The following is a 22,743-nucleotide window of genomic DNA, read 5'->3' on the forward strand; positions in this document are numbered from 1 at the left end:
AGCTACTCAGGAGGCTGAGGCAGGAGAACTGCTTGATCCTGGGAGGCGAGATTGCAGTGAGGCAAGATCACACCACTGCATTCCAGTCTGGGCAACAGAGTAAGTGAGACTCCATCTTAAAAAAAAGTTTGTTTTGCCAACATGAAGGATGCATGCCTGGGAGGCAGGTCTGTATCTTTCTCCAAAGATTACTTTGAGAGGTTCAATATTTAAAGGAGAAAAGACAGATATTGGGGAAGGAAGAAGACATTTTAAAAAGGTGTGGGTAGATAAGAGACAAACGGTCGCATTCTTTTAAGTCTTCGATCAGACTTTCTTTTTTTTGTTTGTTTTTTTGGGTTTTTTTTTGAGGTGGAGTTTTGCTCTTATTGCCCAGGCTGGATTGCAATGGCGCCATTTCGGCTTACTGCAACCTTGGACTCCTGGGTTCAAGCGATACTCTTGCCTCAGCCTCCCAAGTAGCTGGGATTACAGGCCACTGACACCTTGCCCAGCTAATTTTTGTATTTTTAGTAGAGATGGGGTTTCACCATCTTGGCCAGGCTGGTCTTGAACTTAAGACCTAAGGTGATCCACCTGCCTCAGGCTTCCAAAGTGGTGGAATTATAGGCATGAGCCACCATGCCAGCCTTTAATCAGACTTTCGCCAAATACACAATGTACATCTGGGGGAAGGGTAGAGGAATACTCACTTAGGCCATTTCTTATCTTTTTTGAGACATAGTTTCAGTCTTGTTGCCCAGGCTGGAGTGCAATGGCGCAATCTCGGCTCATGGCAAGCCTCTGCCTCCCAGGTTCAAGCGATACTCCTGCCTCAGCCTCCCGAGTAGCTGGGATTATGGGTGCCTGCCACCACACCCGGCTAATTTTTGTATTTTTAGTAGAAATGGGATTTCACCGGGCGTGGTGGCTCACGCCTGTAATCCTAACACTTTTGGAGGCTGAGGCAGGTGGATCACCTGAGGTCAGGAGTTTGAGACCAGCCTGGCCAACATGGCGAAACCCCATCTCTACTAAAAATACAAAAATTAGCCGGGCAGTAGTGGCCTGTGCCTATAATCCCAGCTACTTGGGAGGCTGAGGCAGGAGAATTGCTTGAACTCGTGAGGCAGAGGTTGCAGTGTGTGGAGGTCACATCACTGCACCCAGCCTGGGTGACAGAGCAAGACTCCGTCTCAAAAAAAAAAAAAAAAAAATTTGCTCGGGGTTTCACCACGTTGGTGAGGCCAGTCGTGAACTCCTGACCTCAGGTGATCCACCTGCCTCGCCTCCCAAAGTGCTGGGATTTCAGGCGTGAGCCACCGCCCCCAGCCATCACTTTTGCCTTTGTCTAGTTCAGGGAATCTGAATTTTTCTAGCAGAGGAAGCAAACAAATACGCATTTGTCTTAGGTGAGCAGAGGGATGACTTAAGAGGTCACTAAAATTCTTGGTGCTCACAAGGAATTTCCTAGCAGGCAAACTGGGTGACAGGTATGTAGCTTTTTTTTTTTTTTTTTTTTTTTTTTTTTTTTTTTGAGACAGTCTAACTCTGTTGCCCAGGCTGGAATGCAGTGGCATGATCTCGGCTCACTGCAACTTCTTCCTCCAGGGTTCAGACGATTCTCCTGCCTCAGCCTCCCGAGCAGCTAGGATTACAGGTGTGCACCACCACGCCCAGTTAATTTTTTGTATTTTCAGTAGAGACGGGTATATCACCAGGTTGGCCAGCCTGGTCTCCAAATCCTGACTTCAGGTGATCCGCCCACCTCAGCCTCCCAAAGTGTTGGGATTACAGGCTTGAGCCACTTGGCCTCTCTCCTTGCATATTCATGTGCCTGCAACCCCAAGAGGGAGCTCCTGGCCCCTTGGTTAGGGTCGGGGCCCCAGAGGCCCAGGGTCAAGGCTATGGCCCCATCCAAAGGACGTGCATCCATGCAAGAGGCTGCATCCGACAGGAATAGAAGAGGCTTCGCTGGGGCCTGCTGGAATTCCTGCTGTGGAAAGCAAGAGGAGGTGCTCCTTGAAGAAACGGGGATACCACGATCTCAGGGGTTCTGTCCTGGCCTGCGTCCCTGGATCATCCAGCCTGTGTTGGGGTGGGGAGCCGACCTCGCCCTTCTTAGCCGGGGCTGACGGTGAGCGTCCCACTTCCCCAAAGGCCTAACCCAGGGTTCCAGCCGCAGGCCCCACTGGGCAGTGCGGGGCCCCGCCCGCCCCTCCAGGCCTGGCACTCGCCCTCAGCAAAGATGGCGCGGACGGTCTCAGGCGCCTCACGCGACCCACCCGCCGGGCTCCTCCGGCGCTGCTCTTAGCCCCGCAGACGGCTGCCGAGCGGTGGAGAGGAAAGTGTGATCCGAGGCACGGCGGTGGCTGCGCCCTGGCGCTGCAGGGCTGGACGCTGTATCCCCGGGAGAGCCCGTCGCGGGAGTCCAAGGAGCTGGGCGGCCTCTGGAGCTTCCGCGCCGACTTGGACAGTCGACGCCAGGGCTTCGAGGAGCAGTGGTACCCGCGGCCGCTGCGGGAGCTGCGGGGCAGGGGCGGGAGGCGCCCGGAAGCCCGGCGGTGGGAGGGGGGGAGCCCTGGTCCCTGCAGGCTCCTTCCCCTGAGCGCCCCGGAGCTGGCGCCCTACAGGAAGTTAAAGGTCAATGGGCTTAGGGGCGCAGGCTTGGGGGACGGGGAGACCGGGGGAACTGGGGAGGGCCGAGGCGGGAGAAGAAGGAAGCGCTGCTGCCGAACCCTCTCACGAGACGAAGGGTGAGTCTGGGCAGTGTCTTTCTTTTTAATGTTTATTTTAAATTTTAAAAATTGTTTTGAGACTGGGTTTGGCCCTGTCGCCCAAGCTGGAGCAGAGTGGTGTAATACTAACTTCTGAGCTCAAGGGATTCTCCCGCCCCAGGCTTGCAAGTTAGCTGGGGCCACCACGCCTGGCTATTAAAAAAAACAAAACAAAACTTTGACCAGGCTTGGTGGCTCACGCCTGTAATCCCAGCACTTTGGGAGGCCAAGACAGGTGGATCACTTGAGGCCAGGAGTTCAAGACCAGACTGGTGAAACCCCGTCTCTATTAAAAATACGAAAATTTGCTGGGCATGATGGTACACACCTGTAATCCCAGCTACTCGGGAGTCAGAGGCAGGAGAAGTGCTTGAACCCGGGAGGCGGAGGGTGCAATGAGCCGAGATCACAGAGCCACTGGACTGCACTCCAGCCTGGGTGACAGAGTGAGACTCCGTCTCAAAAAAAATAAATAAATAAAATAGATAAATAAATTTTTTTTTCTTTTTTAAAGATATAGGTCTCACTGCATTGCCCAGGCTGGTCTCGAACTCTTGGCCTCAAGCCATCCTCCCACGTTGACCTCCCAAAGCGCTGATTACAGGCATGAGCCACACAGACACTGGTCTGGCCAGAGCGGCATGTGCTGCACAGAGCTGGGAGGAGGGAGACAGTTTAGACCTCCTGAGGTCAGCTCTGCTGAGGCAGGAAGGTCCCTTGGTTTTCAAGGTTCAGGTTGAGGACAGGACATGATATCAGGCCAAGGACACCACCCCTGTTTTCCTCCTGACTTGGATATGGTCAGCAGAGAAGTGGGACCGGGTGAGGTCTGGGCCGCGTTTTCCTCGCTTGCATCCCCTTAGAAAAACTTTGCAGCATTCAGTACAGGAGGAAGAGAGAAGAGGGCTGGGTGCCTGCGTGCGTCCCACTCACAGTGTCCTAAGCAAAGCCCCGCATCCCCCCAAACAGTCTTCCTCCCTGTGACAGGCAGTGGGTCATCTGTCTTGGGAGATATTGGGCCCCATCCACTCCGAAGGGGAACTCTTGGCCCCGCTAGTCCAGGTGCACAAACCGCCTTGGCGATTGATCTGTCCTCAGCAAGTTGTCTGTCCGTTCCGCCAAGAGTCCCCGCTATGTGTCAGGACTTGCACTAGGCCTGGGGGCACAGCTCTGCAGCACACTGGCCCGGGATCTTTTTGGGGACCTAGGAGGTGAGCGCGGCTCTTCTCTCCACCATCGGGCCCCACCCTGGGCGTGCTGGTTCCCTCCAGCTTCAACGACATCTGTCAGGACTGGTGGCTGCGGCAGTTTGTTGGCTGGGTGTTGTACGAACAGGAGGTGACCCTGCCGGAGCAATGGACCCAGCACCTGCGCACAAGAGTGGTGCTGAGGATTGCCAGTGCCCACTCCTATGCCACTGTGGTCAGTGCAGCCAGGAGCAGGCAGGGTAGGTGGGTGGGCATGGCTGCTGAACAGCATGGGACCCCCAGCAGCCACCTACAGCCTGTCTCCTGGGGTGGGATGGTGGGGGGCCCTGCCCTGCCCTGGGGGCTGTGCCCTGTGTAGGGGGATAGGTGGCCTGATCTACACCCTTGGGATGCCATTCTTCCTGTCTGGCTGGCAGGTCCCTGAGCCCCATGCTGCGGGTTATGTGAGGGAGTGCCTGATAGCAGGGCCCCTCCTCATGCCCCAACCTGCTGCCCCCTCCTCATATCTCCTGTGTCTGCAGTGGGTGAATGGGGTCGACACGCTAGAGCATGAGGGGCCGACAGCAGCAGTCTGGTCCAGGTGGGGCCCCTGTCCTCCTGCCCCTGCATCACTATCACCATCAATAATACGCTCACCCCCTCCACCCTGCCACCAGGGACCATCTGCTACATGATCAACACCTCCAAGTGGATACCATCTTGTCTCCACCGCATGCACCTACCTTCCCATCCCACCCTGTGGTCTTCCTGCTAGGGACAGGGTGGCCTTGGCAGAGTGGAGGACCTGGATCTGAGGAGACCTGTGAGCTGAGGTCAAGGGACTCAGGGCAAGGGCCCAGCGAACCACTGTCCTCCGACCCTAGGTATCCCAAGGGTTACTTTGTCCAGAACACAGACTTTGACTTCTTCAACTACGCGGGACTGCAGCGGTCTGTGCTTCTGTACACGACACCTACCACCTACATCGATGACATCACCATCACCACCGGCGTGGAGCATGACAGTGCTGGTAGGATCCTCCCTCAGTGGGGCCCAGGGTGGCTCTGTTTGTTTCCTGTTTGGAAAGCTCTCCCAGGGAAAAGGTTCTCCCAGCATCTCTGAACCCTCATAGTTTCCTATCTACCTATGAAGGTAAAATCCAGGCTGACTGGGGCACAGGCTCCCGAAATCACCCATGTGGTTGACCTCACTTGGAGAAGAGGGGTCTGGCCTAATGTCACACAGCTCAGGGTGGCAATCCTGTCCCTTCCCCACGGTGCTGCTGTCACTCCAGCTCCCCTTGCTACACATCGTGCTCAAGGAACAGGCAGCTTCGGGGGGCCGGGCATGGTGGCTCATGCCTGTCCTCTCAGCTCTTTGCAAGGAGGCCCTGGTAGGAGGATCACTTGAGGCCAGGAGTTCAAGACCAGCCTGGGCAACATAGCAAGACCATCACTACAAAAAATTAAAAAATTAGCCAGGCATGGTGATGCATGCTGATAGTCCCAGCTGCTGAGGCAGGAGAATCACTTGAGCCTGGGAGGTCAAGGGTGCAGTGAGCTATGACTGTGCCACCACACTCCAGTCTGGGTAACAGAGGGAGACCCTGCCTTTTTTTTTTTTTTTTTTTTTTTTTTTGAGACAGAGTCTTGTTCTCTCGCCCAGGCTGGATGGCAGTGGTGCGATCTCAGCTCACTGCAACCTCCGCCTCCCGGATTCAAAGGATTCTCCTGCCTCAGCCTCCTGAGTAGCTGGGATTATGGGCACCTGCCACCATGCCTGGTTAGTTTTGTATTTTTTTAGTAGAGGCAGGGTTTCACCATGTTGGCCTGGTTGGACTTGAACTCCTGACCTGAGGTGATCCACCCGCCTTGGCCTCCCAGAGTGTAAGGATTTTTTAAGTTTTTTTTTCATTTTTAAAATATATCTTTTTCTTTTTCTGAGATGAGGCCTTGCACGGTTGCCTAGGCTGGAGTGCAGTGGCGAGATTATTGACAGTGTTTTGTGGCCGCAGTTCCAAATTTAAAAGAATTTAGGCTGGGTGCGGTGGTTAATGCCTGTCATTCCAGCACTTTGGAAGGCCGAGGTGGACAGATTGCTTGAGCTCAAAAGTTCGAGACCCACCTGGGCAACATAGTGAGACCCTGTCTCAAAATAAATAAATTAATTAAATAAATAAATAAGAACTTAAACAAGAATAAAGGGCTGTGATTAATATATTAAGTCCTATAAGCATATGGTGATGTTTGATCAGGAGAATGAAGCCACCATTACAGAGTTCTCCTATTAATGGTGGGGGGTAAGGCAAGGTTAGTAAGATTTGCTATAAGTCTTCAAAAGGCTATTAGTGGGAGTAGTGTTTGAAGCTCTCGAGAGAGTAATATGATTCGGCTATGGATTCGCTCATAGTTTGAATTTGCTAGGCAGAATAGTAAGGACAAAGTAAGTCCATGGGCAATTATGAGGGTAATTGCACCAGTAAAGCTTCAGGGGGTTTGAATGAAGATAGCCATAGTAACAAGTGCTGTATGACTTACGGAGGAATATGCAATAAGTGATTTTAGATCAGCTTGTCGTAGACAAATAGAGCTTATCATAACTATCCCTCATAAGGATAACATGTGGAAGGGGTAGGCTATATATTCTGTCAGGAGGCTGAGGATAAGGGTAAGCCGTATTATGCTGTAGCCGCCTGGTTTTAGGAGAACCGCTGCAAGTACTATTGAGCCAGCAATAGGGGCTTCTATGTGGGCTTTAGGAAGTCATAGGTGAAATCGTATAGGGGTATTTTTACTATAAAAGCCATAATACATGCTAATCATATAAGGTTATTGGATCAGAAAATTAATAGTTCTTGGGTGTTAAATATTATTATGTTCAGTGAACCTAAGGTATTTCGAGTATAAATAAGTATAATAGGTAGGGGGAGAGATCCCATTAGTGTATAAAATAAGAAATACGAGCTTGCATTGAGGCGTTCTGGTTGGTTACCTCAGGGGGTGATAATAATTAAGGTAGGGATAAGCGTAGCTTCAAAGAGTATATAAAATATAATTAGTTCTGTGACTGTGAATGCTATAATTTAAAAAAAATTATAGGGAAATCAATATGGAAATATAGAGCTTTTTCCATAGGGGTGACTCATTGGAGAGGTGGTACTGGCTTGCTATAATTATAAGAGGTAGTAGTCAGGCTGTTAAGATTAGAAGGGGTGATGTCAGCGATCAGAAGAGAAAGTTAATGAGAAGTTGAATAGATTGCTGAATTGATTAAAAAATAATAGGGCAATGAAGCTGATGATTAGGCTGTGAATAGTCATATTGATTTAGATTATTGAGTTTTTAGAGAGTCATGTTATTGATAGCAGTATAATTGTTGGAATAATAATTTTTAGCATTGAAGTAAATTTAGGTTATGTACATAATCTAGGCCATACGTGTTGGAGATTGAAACTAGTAAGGCGAGGCCCACTGCAGCTTTGCAGGCAGCAAATACTGGGAGGGTAATGGGTATTATGAATGCTAGGGTGAAATGTATATTTAAAGTTATAAGGGTATTTATGATGAATAATGATAATATTATTCCTTCTAGGCATATTAGGGATGCTATCAGGTGGGATCGATAGGTTAATATCCCCAGAAGTGATATGGTATATGCTAATATGATATTGATATAAATAGAAAGCATTTGGTAAATATGTTCTATTATAATCTAATGAGTCAGAATCATTTATTTTGGCTTAAACTATCTACCAATTCAGTTCAGTCTAATCCTTTTTGAGTTCATTCATAAGTTAACCCTAGTACTAAAATGATAACTAGTATAAGGGCTGTGCTGATTGTTAGTGTCAGGTTGTTTGTTTGAAGAGCTCATGGCAAGGGTAATAGGGCGATTTCTAAGTCAAATAGGAGGAATGTGATGGCTACTAGAAAAAATTTTATGGGGGAGGGAATGCAGGCGGAGGATAATGGGTCAAATCTGCATTTGTAGGGGCTGGATTTTTCTATATAAATATTAAGTTGTGGGAGCCATAATGTAATAACTATTAGTGATAAGGCTAATAGGGTGTTGATTACTAGGGCTAGTATTAGGTTAATTACTCTTTTTCAGATGTCAAAACTAATTGATTGGAAGTCAGTAGTACTCTTTATACTAAAAGAGTAAGATCCTCATCAGTAAATAGAGATATACAAGAATAGTCATACTACATCTACAGAGTGTCAATATCAGGCAGCAGCTTCGAAGCCAAAGTGATGGCTAGATGTAAAGTGATATTTTAATTGGCAGAAGAGACAGATAGTGAGGAATGTTGATCCAATAATGACGTGAAGTCCGTGAAAGGCTGTAGCTATAAAGAATGTTGAGCCATAAATTCATCAGAAATAGCAAAGGGAGCCTCAAAGTATTCTGAGACTTGTAGGAGGGTGAAGTAAATACCTGAGGTAATTGTGATAAGTAGTGCTTCAGTTATTTGTTTTTGATTATTTTCTAGTAGGCTGTGATAGGCTCAAGTAATTGAAATCCCTGATGCAAGAGGGGTACTTCCAGAGGGTTGAGGGGAGAAATGCCTGTTGGGGGTCAGTGTCCTCCTAGTTCTGGAGTTGGGGCTAGACTGGAATGGTAGAATGCCCAGAAGAATCCAGCAAAGAAAAATGCTTCTGAGATAATAAATAAATTCCATATCAGAGGCCTTTCGGACAATTGTTGTATGGTGGCCTTGAAATGTACTTTCTCGGATAATATCACGTCACCATTGATATATAGTCAGTGTATTGGTTAGTAGGCCTAAAGTTAAAAGAGTAATAGAGTTAAAGTGAGATCATATAGCTAGGCCAGATGTTATTAGGAGAGCTGAGAGAGCCCCTGTTAATGGCCAAGGGCTGAGTTTGACTAAATGAGAGGTGTGTGTTTGGTGGGTCATTATGTGTTGTCATATAAATAAAGGCTTACTAATAGCGTAAAGACATAAGCTTGGATAAGGGCCACAGCGAATTCGAGAGTGGTCAATAGAATTAGAATAATAAGGGTAATTGAAGCTGTGGGAAGGTTAATAGTTGATAATACTAGTGTGGCTCCTCCAATAAGTGTATGAGTAAGTGACTGGCCGTAATATTGGCTGTTAAATGTACAACTAGTGCCATTGGTTGAATAAGTAGACTAATGGTTTCGTTGATTACTAGTATAGGGGTAAGTGGTATGGGCGTGCCTTGCAGGAAGAGAGCTAAGGAGTTTTTAGTTTTAAAGTGGAACCTGTGATTACTGTTCCTGCTCATAAGCGGATTGCTATACCGAGATTTATTGATAGTTGAGTAGTTGGTGTAAATGAGTGGGGTAGAAGCCCAAGGAGATTGGTTAAGGCAATAAAGAGAATTAGGGATATTAGTATAAGGGATCAGGTTCGTCCTTTAATATTATGTGTGATTATTATTTGTTTTAGAACAAGTTGAACTAGTCATTGTTGAATAGAAATCAATCTTGTATTAATTATATTAATATTAATTAGATAGTTATTAGATGATACTAATTAGATAATTAATTAATATTAATTAGAGAGTATATTAATTAAATAGTTGGAGGTTGGAAGGAGTGTGGCGGGAAACAAGATGATTAGTGCTGCTGCGGGTAAACCTAGGATTGTCGGGGCAGTAAATGAGGTGAACAGATTTTCGTTCACTTTAGTTCTCAAGGGTTGTTATGTTTTTGTGTTTCAATTATTTTTGGTGTAGCGGGTGTATGGTAAATGAAATTTGATAGTTTTAATTGAATAATCGAGAATAAAGTTATGATTGTTGATATAATAATAATAGGTCATGTGGAAGTATCTCGTTGAGGAATTCACTGTAGAGAGGTGTGATTTCTGTCAGAAGAAGTCTTTAAAAGGTTAACGCTGGGGTAGCTTTACAGTGAGATTATAGTGTGGATATAGACCAAGTTTTGAAAGTTTTTAATGGGACTAATTTTAAAACAATAGATATAAAGCTGTGGTTAGATCCACACATTTCTGAGCATTGTCCATAGTAGAGGCCTGGTCATGTAGTGGTTAAGGCAAATTGGTTTAAGCGTCCAGGGATTGCATCTGTTTTTAACCCTAATGAGGGAATAGTTCATGAGTGCAGGATATCTTTGGATGAGATTAACATGCGGATGAGAATTTCTATTGAGAGGATGTTTGGTTATCGAATTCGAGGAGTTGAAGTTCTTCTGGTTTTAAGTTGGCTGTTGGAAGTATATAAGAATCGAAACTTAATTCTTCATAATCTATATACTCGTAGCTTCAATACCATTGATGTCCAATTGTTTTAATGGTGAGAGGGGGATTATTGATTTCATCTGTTATGTACAGAATACATAGGGATGGGAGGGCAATTAAGATTAAGCTGATGGCAGGCAAGATAGTTCAGACAGTCTTTATTTCTTGGGCATCTATAGTGCTAGTATGAATCAGCTTTGTTGTATTAGAGAAATAATGTATAGAACCAGGAAACTAATTAGGAAAATAATTATAAGAGTGTGGTCATGGAAGGTAAGTAGTTCTTCTATAGTAGGGGATGAAGCATCTTGAAGACCTAATTGAACTGGATGGGCCATTAAGATATATAGGGCTTAACCTATAACTTTGACAAAGTTATGAAATAATTTTATTAATATCTTATTGAGAAAGTCATAGAGGTTATGGGATTGACTTGAAACAGTCTCTGGAGGTTCGATTCCTTCCTTTTTCGCTTAGGTCTTCATGTAGGTTGGTTCTTCGAATGTGTGATAGGGTGGTGGACAGCCATATAGTCATTCTAAGTTGGTAGATGGTTGCACAATTGTTAGAACTTTTCGTTTTGAAGCGAAGCCTTCTCAGATCATGAAAATTATTAGCGTTACTGCTGTTAGGGAAATAAATGAGCCTACGAATGAAATAGTATCTCATGCGGTGTATGCACCGGGATAATTGGAGTAATGGCGAGGCATACTGGATAGGCTGCGGAAATGCTGCGGGGAAAAAAGTTAAATTGACACCTATAAATATGATGGCAAAGTGAGTTTTAGCATAGATTTGATTGAGTGTATAACCTGAAAATAGGGGGAATCAGTGGACAAAGCCTTCTATAACAGCAAATATGGCTTCTATTGATAAGACATAATGGAAATGGGCTACAACATAATATGTATCATGTAAAACAATATCTAGTTATGAATTGGCTAGTACAATGCCGGTTAAACCTCCTACTGTAAAAAGGAAAATAAATCCCAGGGCTCAGAGTATTGCGGGAGATCATTTGATGTTACCGCCATGTAATGTAGCTAATCAGCTAAAGACTTTGACATGAGTAGGAATAGCAATAATTATAGTAGCAGAGGTGAAGTATGCTCATGTATCTACATCTGTTCCTACTGTAAATATGTGGTGAGCCCATACGATAAACCCTAAGAAGCCAATTGATATTATGGCCTACACTATGCCCATATACCCAAATGGCTCTTTTTTCCCAGAGTAGTATGTTACGATATGGGAAATTATCCTGAAGCCCAGTAGGATGAGGATATAGACTTCAGGGTGATCAAAGAATCAGAATAAGTGCTGATATAAGATAGGATCACCTCCACCAGCTGGGTCGAAAAAAGTAGTATTAAGATTGCCGTCTGTTAATAGTATAATAATGCTGGCGGCTAGGACTGGGAGAGAAAGGAGTAGAACTGCTGTAGTTAGGACTGATCAGACCAAAAGGGGTGTGTGATATTGGGACGTGGCTGGAGGTTTTATATTAATAATTGTGGTAATAAAGTTAATGGCCCCTAAAATAGAAGAGACACCTGCCAAATGGAGTGAGAAGATGGTTAAATCTACAGGGGCTCCCGCATGTGTTAGGTTTCCTGCTAAGGCGGGGTAGACTGTTAGCCGGTTCCAGTGCTGGCCTCTACTATAGTGGATGCAAGTAATAGCAGGAAAGAGGGTGGGAGGAGTCAGAAACTCATATTATTTATCCGGGGAAATGCTATGTCAGGGGCGCCAATTATCAGAGGGATTAACCTCCAGTTATTATTGGTATTACTATAAAGAAAATTATAAGAAATGCATGAGCGGTAATGATGACATTGTAAATTTGATCATCACCTAGTAGAGTACCTGGTTGGCCCAGTTCCGCTCAAATAAGGAGGCTTAAGGCTGTACCTGCTATCCCTGCTCAGGCACCGAATAGCAAGTATAATGTCCTGATATCTTTATGGTTGGTTGAGAACGATCAACAGTTGGTGAACATAAGTGAAGTGAGAAAAGGTAAAATGGCTGAGTAAGCATTAGACTGTAAATCTAAAGACAGAGGTCAAGGCCTCTTTTTTCCTGTCCCGAGGTGATTTTCATGTTGAATTGCAAACTCAAAGGAGCAGCTTGAATCCTGCTGGGGCTTGTATGCCATTTTTCCCCCAACTGCGGGAGAAGTAGATTGAAGCCAGTTGATTAGGGTGTTTAGCTGTTAACTAAATTTTCGTGGTTTAAGTCCCACCAATCTAGCAAGGGCTTAGCTTAATTAAAGTGATTGATTTGCATTCAATTGATACAGAATAGAGTTTTTCAGTCCTTAGGGATTTTTTAGAAATTAAGTATAATTTACTTGCTAAGAGCTTTGAAGGCTCTTGGTCTTACTTAACCTAAATTTCTAGATTATGGATAGTGTTAGTGGAGAGATTGGTAGGAGGATGGTAGAGAAGATGATAAGTGTGGGGAGAAGTAATATGAAATATTTTTGAACTGTCATTTTATTTTTATATTATTGGATGTGGGGAATATTGTCACTGAAATGGAGTAAACTAAGCATATGTAAATATACAGATTGAGTAGAGTTATGATAGCTATAATGGTTGGGATAATAAGACTTATTTTTTGTAAACTCTTGAATGGTGATTCATTTAGGCAGGAATCCTGTTCATGGAGGTAAACCTCCTAGGGATAATAAAATTGATAGAATTATAGATACTGACCATGTTAATTTGTTTCAGGCATGGGATAGTGATAGGGTTGTAGTGCTTGAATTCAGGCTGAGTGCTAGGAATGCAGTGGTTGTTAGGTTAAAAATGGTAATGTTTGGGTTATATATTAGTACTGCTGTTATTCAACCTATATGAATAATTGAGGAGTAGGCTAGAATTTTACATAGTTGTGTTTGGTTAAGTCCTCCTCAACTGCCCACTATAATAGATAAGATCAAGAGAGATAGGAGGATGTTCGTGTTTACTGATGGAAAAATTTGATATATAATTGAAATAGGGCCAGTTTTTGTCATGTGAGGAGTGGTATACCGAATGTTAGGGAAGTTCCTTGGGTTACTTCTGGAACTCAGAAGTGAAAAGGGGCTATCCCTAGTTTTATTACTAAGCTGTTATTATTTTTAAGGATGAAAGTTGATTAATAGTATTTATTGTTCACTGGAGAACAGGTTATTGAAGAGAATACTTATTATGAGGAATATAGATGCGGTTGCCCGTATAAGGAAATATTTAGTGACTGCTTCTGTAGAGCGGGTTTTTTTTTTAAATTGAGATTGGGATGAGGGCTAGTATATTTATTTCTAGGCCTGTTCAGATGAAAAATCAGTGTGAGCCTAGCGTTGTGATAAGTACCTGTAAAAACAGTAAGGTAAATAATAAGTTGAGCTAATGGGTTAATTAGGATGGGAAGGGTATAACCAACATTTTTGGGGTATGGGCCAGATAGCTTATTTAGCTGACCTTACTTTAGGACATGGTGTGATAGGTAGCATGGGGAATTTTGGATTCTCGGGGTGAGTTCAATTCCTATAGTTCTAGAAATAAGAGGATTTCAACCTCTATTGTTTACTCTATCAAAGTAATTCTTTTGTCACACATATTATGTTTGGGGTGGGATGCTGGAGATTAGGATGGGTATTGAGATATGTCATATACAGAATACTAGTGTAAGTGGTAGAAAGTTTTTTTTGTAAGAGGTGTATGAGTTGATCGTTGCGGAAACAGGGATATGCTGTTTGAATTCATAAAAATAGGTTAAGAGGAAGGTCTTGGTAATGAAATATGTAGTATAGAGTTTGGTGAATATATAGTGTGTAATGTTCCTAGAAAAAATGTAGTAGTTAGGGCATTTATTACGATAATATTCATATATTCTGTTATAAAGAAGAGGGCAAATGGACCTGCAGTATATTCGATGTTGAAACCTGAGACTAACTCTGATTCTCCTTCTGTTAGGTCAGAAGGGGCTCAGTTAGTTTCTGCTAATGTGGAGATAAATCATATTATGGCTAGGGGTCATGATGGTAGGAGCAGTCAGAGGGACTCTTGTGTTGTGATGAGTGTATATAAATTGAATGAGCCGCTTCTCAGTAGGACTGATAACAGGATGATGGTTAGGGTGACTTCATATGAAATTGTTCGGGCGACAGCTTGTAATGCACCGATTAGTGCATAGTTTGAATTGGATGCCCATCCTGATCATCAAATAGAGTAGATGGCTAGGCTTGATGTGGCTAGAATAAATAGGAGGCCTATATTAAAATTAATTAAAGGGTCTGGAATAGGGAGGGGAGTTCACAAAAGAAGGGCGATAGAAAGGGCTAGGGTTGGAGCAGTAATATAGAGGGCAATAGTAGATGTTGAGGGTTGTAAGGGTTCTTTGGTGAAAAGTTGTATTGCATCAGCAGATGGTTGAAATAAATAGTCCGTAGGGTGTTAGATTGAGATTAACATCATCTATAGTGCGAGGGCACTTTATGAAGTAGGCCCTATTTTTCTTGTCCTTTCGTACAGGGAGAAAAACAAAATAGAGAGAAACCTGTTGGAGACCAGCCTGGCCAACATGGCAAAACCCCGACTCTACTAAAAATACAAAAATTCACCAGACGAGGTGGTACACGCCTATGATCCCAGGTAGTCGGAAGGCTGAGGCAGGAGAATCACCTGAACCCCAGAGGTGGAGGTTGCAGTGGGCCAAGATCACGCCACTGCACTCCAGCCTGGGGGACAGAGTGACACTTTGTCTCAAAAAATATGTATGTGTGTGTGTGTGTGTTCATATATGTGTGTATATATATATATATATATATGTATATAAAATTTTAAAAAAACAATAGAAACAAATGGCTGCCTGGGAGTGGTGGCTGCGGGGCACTCCCGTTTGTGTGGCCCAGGTCATGTCCCTCCCTCAGCCCTGGTCTCTCTTGCCTCCTGCAGGGCTGGTGAATTACCAGATCTCCTCAAGTGCAGCAACCAGATCCAGTTGGAAGTGCATCTTTTGGAGGCAGAAAACAAAGCCATGGCCACTGGGGCCTTTACTCAGGGCCAGCTGAAGGTACCGGGTACAGGCAGGAGCCTCTGGTGGCCTTACCTGATGCACGAACACCCCCCGGTCTGTACTCATTGGAGATAATGGTGGTTTGGAACTTGGTTAAGGGAGGTCTTTTGCCCCCATCTGGGCTTCAGCAGGAGCCCAGGACAGATGAACGGCCAGGCGTGGTCCTCTGAGCTTTCTGATATTTCCCACCCTTGGTGGGAGGCCCAGTTTTTGTGTTTTTTTTTGAGATGGTCTCACTGTGTCACCCAGGCTGAAGTGCAATGGCCTGTTCACAGCTCACTGCAGCTTTGAGCTCCCAGGCTGCAGCAATCCTCCTACCTTGGCCTCCTTAGTAGCTGGGACTACAGGCACATGCCACCATGCCTGGCTAATTAAAAAAACTGTTTTGGTAAGCCAGGCGTGGTGGCTTACACCTGTAATCCCAGGACTTTGGGAGGCTGAGGTGGGTGGATCACATGAGGCCAGGAGTTCGAGACCAGCCCATCCAACATGGTGAAACCCTGTCTCTACTAAAAATATGATAATTTGCTGGGCATGGTGGTGCATGCCTGTAATCCCAGCTACTTGGGAGGCTGAGGCAAGAATTGCTTGAACTTGGGAGGCAGAGGCTGCAATGAGTTGAGATCACGCCACTGCACTCCAGCCTGGGCGACAGAGTGAGACTGTCTCCAAAAAAAAAAAAAAATTTTTTTTTTATAGAGATGGGGTCTCACTCTGTTGCCAGGCTGGTCTTGAACTCCTGGACTCAAGTGATCCTCCTGCCTTAGCCTCCCAAAGCGTGGGAACTCCAGGCATGAGCCACCTCATCTGGTCAAGGGGAAGGCCCAGTTTTGAAGGGCAGGTCCCGGGGTCAGCCAGGGAAGGGCAGAGCCTCTGATTGCTGCATCTCTGCTTGCAGGCCCAAGGCGGCTGCTGGGGTGCACGAGGGGCCTTCCTGCCAGAGGGAGGGCCGGATGGGGCTCAGGCTGTCGGGGTGCTCACACCTGGCGCTTTGGCTATCTTAGGTGCGGCTGACTGCACAGACGTCACTGGGGCCTTTGTCTGACTTCTACACACTCCCTGTGGGGATCCGCACTGTGGCTGTCACTGAGAGCCAGTTCTTCATCAACGGGAAACCTTTTTATTTCCACAGCATCAACAAGCACGAGGATGCGGACCTGCGTTTGTGCTCCTGGGTCCTCGTTGGGGCTGCTTCTGGTCACCTTCCACTTTTGCCTTCCGTATGTCCCACAGTTGAGGGCAGCTCAGGGCAATAAGGCAAATGGCTCCAAACTGCCCCATGGTGGAGCCGGTGCTTGGGCTGGAGAGGGGGCTCATGGGGTGGCTCTCCAGGGTCCTGGCTCTCAGAGGAAGTGCAGCTTCGACAGGGGCAGGGGTCACTCCACTCTGCTGTCTCCTAGATCCTAGGGAAGGGCTTCAACTGGCTGCTGCTGGTGAAGGACTTCAACCTGCTTCACTGGCTTGGTGCCAACGCCTTCTGCACCAGCCACTACCCCTACGCGGGGGAAGTGCTGCAGATGTGTGACCGCTATGGGATTGTGGTCATTGATGAGTGTCCCGCTGTGGGCCTGGTGCTGGTGTGAGTCCCCACCACGCACCCGCTCCACCTGCCCAGCCCGCAGACCGCACCATGACCCTCTGTCCCTTCCCTCCTGGCCCACAGGCAGCTTTTCAACAATGTGTCTGTGCATCAACACATGTGGGTGATGGAGGAACTGGTGTGCAGGGACAAGAACCACCCCGCCGTGGTGATGTGGTCTGTGGCCAACAAGCCTGCATCCTACCTGGAACCTGCCGGCTACTACTTCAGGTGAGTGCCCCCTGGCTGCCCTGGGCTGGATCGGGAAGGAGACCCTGGCAGGTGGCAGGCTGGGGTGGGTTTGTGCTGTTTGAGACCAGCCTCCTGTCCCAGCCTGATGGGAGTGCCGTCCATACCCAGACACTTCAGGGGACCAAATATCTACCCACCCAAGTTGTGGTTTTCTTTTTCTTTGTTTTGTTTTGTTTTTTTTTTGAGACGTGGTCTCGCTGTGTCTCCTAGGCTGGAGATCAGTGACATGATCTTGGCTCTCTACAACCTCCGCTTCCCGGGTTTAAGTGATTATTTTGCCTCAGGCTCCTGAGTACCTGGGATTACAGGCATGCGTGAGCCACTGCACCTGGCCTGTTTTTTTGATTTTTTTTGTTTTTTTCGAAACGGGGTCTCACTTTGGTCTCCCAGGCTACAGTGCAGTGGTGTGATCTCGGATCACTGCAGCCTCGACTTCCCAGGCTTAGGTGATCTTCCTGCCTCAGCCTCCCAAGCAGCTGGGATTATAGATGTGTGTCATCACACCCAGCTACTTTATACTTATTTTTTATTTTTTTGAGATGGAGTCTCACTCTGTTGCCAGGCTGGAGTACAGGGGCACGATCTCGACTCACTGCAACCTCTGCCTCCTGAGTTCAAGTGATTCTCCAGCCTCAGCTTCCCGAATAGCTAGGATTACAGGTGTGTGCCACCACACCCAACTAACTTGCATTTTTGTTTGTTTGTTTGTTTTGAGATGGAGTCTCACTCTGTTGCCAGGCTGGAGTGCAGTGGCACAATCTCAGCTCACTGCAACCTTCACCTCCCAGGTTCAAGTGATTCTTCTGCCTCAGCCTCCTGAATAGCTGGGACTACAGGCTTGCGCCACCACACCTGGCTAAAATTTTTTTTTTTTTTGTGATGGAGTCTCACACCGGGCTAATTTTTGTATTTTCAGTAGAGACAGGGTTTCACTATGTTGGCCAGGATGGTCTCAATCTCTTGGCCTCATGATCCGCCCGCCTTGGCCTCCCAAGTGGTGGGATTACAGGCGTGAGCCACTGTGCCTGGCCAACTTTTGTGTTTTTTAGTAGAGACAGGGTTTCACCATGTTGGCAAGGCTGGTCTTGGACTGCTGACCTCAGGTGATCCGCCTGCCTCAGCCTCCCAGAGTGCTGGGATTACAGGCGTGAGCCACCGTGCCCAGCTAATTTTTGTATTTTTAGTAGAGACAGGGTTTCACCATGTTGACCAAGCTGGCCTCGAACTCCTGACCTCAAGTGATCCACCTGCCTCAGCCTCTGAAAGTGCTGGGATTACGGGTGTGAGCCACTGCGCACGGCCCCCTTTTCTTCCTTATAATCGTGCAGTTCTAACAGCGTTCAGAGGTGGATTTTTCACTTGTGGTAGAGGCAGCAGAGGTTGTAGAAATGTTTCTTGAGACAGACACCACACCCCAATTTCATGGAGTGCTTTGGGCTGAGCCAAGTCTACAGCAGGCAGAAGGCTCTGAGAAGTTGTCCCAGCCTGGGCAAAGGACAATTCAGAGCTCGGGGGCATGGGGTGTGCTCAGCAGTACTGGGTGGACAACGTTTTTTGCAAAAGTGAAGAGTTCAGGCTTCCAGGAGCGGATGCCTGAGGCTTCCAGACAGGCTTCTTTGAGCGGTGGCCAGAGGAGATGCCTGTTTTTCAGGGTAGGAATTGAAGGGAGTTGCCCAGGCTGGAGTGGTTCAGCCAGGCTGTCACAAGGCTTTGAAGCTTCCCATCTGAGAGCCTGGCTGTTGGATAGTGCAGGTTTGGAACTTGAGGCTGGGAGATTCTGTTCCATCATGTGCCAGCCACAGCCTTTGGATGGGCAGAGCAGTGATGGGGGAGGGTGTAAAAGAAGAAATAAACTGAGGAAAGAGAAGAGGAAAACAGGCTTCAACAACAATCTAGGCTGGGCATGGTGGCTGACGCCTGTAATCCCAGCACTTTGGGAGGCCAAGGCGAGTGGATCACCTGAGGTCAGGAGTTCAAGACCAGCCTGGCCAACAGATAGTGAAACCCCGTCTCTGCTAAAAATACAAAAATAAACCAGGAGTGGTGGCAATTGCCTGTAATCCCAGCTACTCGGGAGGCTGAGGCAGGAGAATCACTTGAACCCGGGAGGTGGAGGTTGCAGTGAGCCGAGATCGTGCCATTGCACTCCAGCCTGGGCTACAGAGTGAGACTCTTTCTTTCAAAAAAAAAAAAAAAAATCTGTACTGTGCAGGCCTCAGGTGGGTGCCAGAAGCTCTGAGCAGGGACTGATCCCTCTGTTGGGTTTTTCTTCCCTTTATCCCTCCTGGTTAACTTGACTCGGCATAAGGGCCATTTCTTCTAAGAGTCTCTCCCTGACTCTCCAATCCAAGTTATGTTTATTGTCTTGTAGATACCAATTCCTGCCACCACTCGTCATTTCCATTGGCAACATTTCTTTCATTGTTTGTTTTTCAGAGTTGGTCTTGCTTTGTTGCCCAGGCTGGAGAGCAGTGGTGTGATCTCGGCTCACTGCAACCTCTACCTCCTGGGTTTAAGCAATTCTCCTGCCTCAGCCTCTTGAGTAACTGGGACTAGAGGCATGCACCACCATGTGCAGCCTATTTTTAAAATTTTTTATAGAGATGGAGTCTCGCTTTCAGGCTGGCCTTGAACTCCTGGCCTCAAGTGATTCTCCCGCCTCGGACTCCCAAAGTACTGGGAATACAGGCATGAGTCACACAACGCATGGCTGACAAGATTCCTATTCAGCGTCTGAGCACGGAGAAGACTCCCTTGGCCTGGGGCAGGTGAGGTAAACCTCCTCATAGAGGGGACAGTTATGAGGACGCTCATAGCTGTCCCCTCTATGAGGAGGTTTACCTCACCTGCCTCAGGCCAAGGGAGCCTTCTCCGTGCTCTGCCCCTGTTGTAGCCTGAACCTGGCTCTCCCTGCGTTCTCACCAGGCACTGTCATTATTTCTTTGGCTCTCTCTTTGGACTGTGGGCTCAGGAGAGAGAAGGAGTTCTATTTATTGTTGCTTCCTAGGTACTCTGCAATATCTGACACAGCACGTGCTATATGATACCTGTTGAGGGCTTGAGGGCATGGGTGAGATCACAGAGCCATGTTTAATCACTCATTTTGTCCTCTTTATTTATGTATTTATTTATTTTTATTTTTGAGATGGAGTCTTGCTCTGTCACCCAGGCTGGAGTGCAATGGCGTGATCTCAGCTCTCTGCAACCTCTGCCTCCTGGGCTCAAGCAATTGTCCTGCCTCAGCCTCCAAAGTAGCTGGGATTACAGGCACCCGCCACCATGCCTAGCTAATTTTTGTATTTTTGTAGAGACGGGGTTCCCAAAATCCTAGAATTACAGGTGTAAGCCACCGTGCCCGGCCTGTTCTCATTTTTTTTTTATCCATCTCATTTTTTTTTCCTCACCAAAGATATGTTGCTTTGTCTTGGGGTTTTTTTACATGTGAATTCCTGAACCTCATCCAGCCCCTCGTCCCCTCCCCAGCCAGCTCACACTCGTTTGTCACAGCTCCTGGGACTCCCATTGACATACAGGTAACAGCCACCCACAGTGGACTGTGCTGTTCTGTTTGCACCCTTAAATTTATCATGATTACAGAATGCCACTTCTGCAAACTAGTCAAGTAGGGGGAAGTGGCTCATCGATATGCATGCTTGCTCATCCTCTTTGAAAAGGTAACCAGCTCTGAATTCTTTTTTCTTTGAGACGGAGTTTGGCACGATCTTGGCTCACTGCTACCTCTGCCTCCCAGGTTCAAGCTGTTCTCCTGCCTCAGCCTCCCAAGTAGCTGGGATTACAGGCATGCGCCACCATGCCCATCTAATTTTGTATTTTTGGTAGACATGAGATTTCCCCACCATGTTGGTCAGGTTGGTCTTGAACTCCTGACCTCAAGTGATCCGCCTGCCTTGGCCTCCCAAAGTGCTGGGATTACAGACATGAGCCACCATGCCCTGCCTGAGCTCTGAATTCTTAAGAAACTCTTGAGAGGGTCTAGGTCAGTGCTGATAGAACCTCTGCAGTGCTGGGCGTGATGGCTTACACCTGGAATGCTAGTACTTTGGGATGCCAAGGTCAGAGGATCTCTTGAGCCCAGGAGTTTTGAGACCAGTCTGTACAACATACACCCCATCTCTACAAAAAATTTAAAATGAGTTGGGCATGGTTGTGCTTGCCTGTAGTCCCAGCTACTTGGGAGGCTGAGGTGGGAGGATTGTTTGAGCCCAGTAGGTCAAGACTCCAGTCAGCCATGATTGCATTGCTGTACTCCCACCTGGGTGACAGAGTGAGACCTTGTTTTTTTTAAAAAAAACACCCTTGCAGTGATGGAAATGTTCTGTATTTGCACTGTCTGAAATGGTAGCTATTAGCTACACGTGGCTATTGAGGTCTTGATATATGACTAGGATAACCGAATTGATTTAGTTTAATTAAAAAAGATTTTTTTTGAGACAGACTCACTCTGTTGTCCAGGCTGGAGTGCAGTGGCATAACCACAGCTCACTGCTCGACTTCCTGGGCTCAACCACTCCTTTCTCCTCAGCCCCCTAAGTAGCTGGAACCACAACTGTGCACCCCCATGCCTGGCTAATATTTTGCCTTTTTGTAGGACTGGGTCTCACTGTGTTGCCTAGGCTGCTCTTGAACTCCTGGTCTCAAGTGATCCTCCTGCCTCGACGTCCCAAAGTGCTGGGATACCAGACCTGAGCTACCATGCCCAGCCTGGTTTAGTTTAATTTCATTTTACATGTATGTATGTATGACAGGGTCTCGCTCTGTCACTCAGGCTGGAGTGCAGTGGTGTAAACACAGCTCACTGCAGCTTTGACCTCTGGGGCTCAAGCAGTCCTCCCACCTCTGCCTCCCAAGTAGCTGGGACCACAGGTATGTGCCACCATGCTTGGCTGATTTTTGTGTTTTTTGTACAGATGGGGTCTTGCTGTGTTACCCAGGCTGGTCTTGAACACCTGGGCTCAAGCAATCCTCCCACCTTGGCCTCCCAAAGTGCTGGGATAACAGGCATGAGCCACTGCACCTGGCCCAAAGACGTATTTTTACCTGTAGTGTAGTTCAGCCTTTAGACTGTACCAGCAGATAGAGGTGGAAAAGTAATGTAAAGCGAATATCAAATTACATTTATAAATAAAGCAGTTGCTCATTAAGGTTGTTTTTTTTTTTAAACCTCCTTTTTTATTCTGGGTTACATCATTCCCTGGCTGTCTTTACCCCAGCATCAGTGAGTCCTGCAGTCACTATAGCCCCCTGCGAGGACAGATATTTTGGTCACCATCAAGTGGATCTTTATTTTTATCTAACATTTACAATTCTGCCATTTCTGACTCTTAGAATCTCTTTGCCTTGAATACCAGGGTCCACCTCTGATGTTCACTGAAGAGTACCAGAAGAGTCTGCCAGAGCAGTACCATCTGGGTCTGGATCAAAAACGCAGAAAATACGTGGTTGGAGAGCTTATCGGGAATTCTGCCGATTTCACGACTATGCAGTGTAAGTGGCAGTTTGGCTCATGGGATAACGTACCTGTCCTCATTTTTTCAGGTTGCCTTGCCAATTCTGGCCATTTTGATTATAAGAATATTGGAAACAAAGGAGGGAAGCTGGCTTACTCCATGTAGGTTGCATTGAGAATTTTCTAGAAAA

The 22,743-nt window shown here is 46.6% G+C and overlaps 10 pseudogenes, besides 1 other annotated feature; 1 reads left to right on the plus strand and 9 right to left on the minus strand.

The window, feature by feature from the left end:
• Nucleotides 1,905-2,405: an enhancer, noted in NCBI's record as "H3K27ac hESC enhancer chr7:63560238-63560738 (GRCh37/hg19 assembly coordinates)". NCBI's record gives its function as "activates a minimal SCP1, AML or CMV promoter by ChIP-STARR-seq in naive H9 embryonic stem cells {active_cell/tissue: H9 hESC(naive)}" and the evidence as "EXISTENCE:reporter gene assay evidence [ECO:0000049][PMID:30033119]".
• GUSBP6 (GUSB pseudogene 6) lies at nt 2,350-22,590 on the plus strand (annotated as a pseudogene).
• On the minus strand, nt 6,138-7,340 carry MTND4P2 (MT-ND4 pseudogene 2; annotated as a pseudogene).
• MTND4LP2 (MT-ND4L pseudogene 2) lies at nt 7,337-7,621 on the minus strand (annotated as a pseudogene).
• On the minus strand, nt 7,699-8,040 carry MTND3P2 (MT-ND3 pseudogene 2; annotated as a pseudogene).
• On the minus strand, nt 8,110-8,864 carry MTCO3P8 (MT-CO3 pseudogene 8; annotated as a pseudogene).
• MTATP6P18 (MT-ATP6 pseudogene 18) lies at nt 8,867-9,617 on the minus strand (annotated as a pseudogene).
• Nucleotides 9,874-10,531, minus strand: MTCO2P8 (MT-CO2 pseudogene 8; annotated as a pseudogene).
• Nucleotides 10,670-12,192, minus strand: MTCO1P8 (MT-CO1 pseudogene 8; annotated as a pseudogene).
• On the minus strand, nt 12,592-13,595 carry MTND2P4 (MT-ND2 pseudogene 4; annotated as a pseudogene).
• On the minus strand, nt 13,800-14,617 carry MTND1P2 (MT-ND1 pseudogene 2; annotated as a pseudogene).

The sequence above is a fragment of the Homo sapiens genome, chromosome 7, assembly GCF_000001405.40.
Source record: "Homo sapiens chromosome 7, GRCh38.p14 Primary Assembly".
Lineage (NCBI taxonomy): Eukaryota > Metazoa > Chordata > Mammalia > Primates > Hominidae > Homo > Homo sapiens.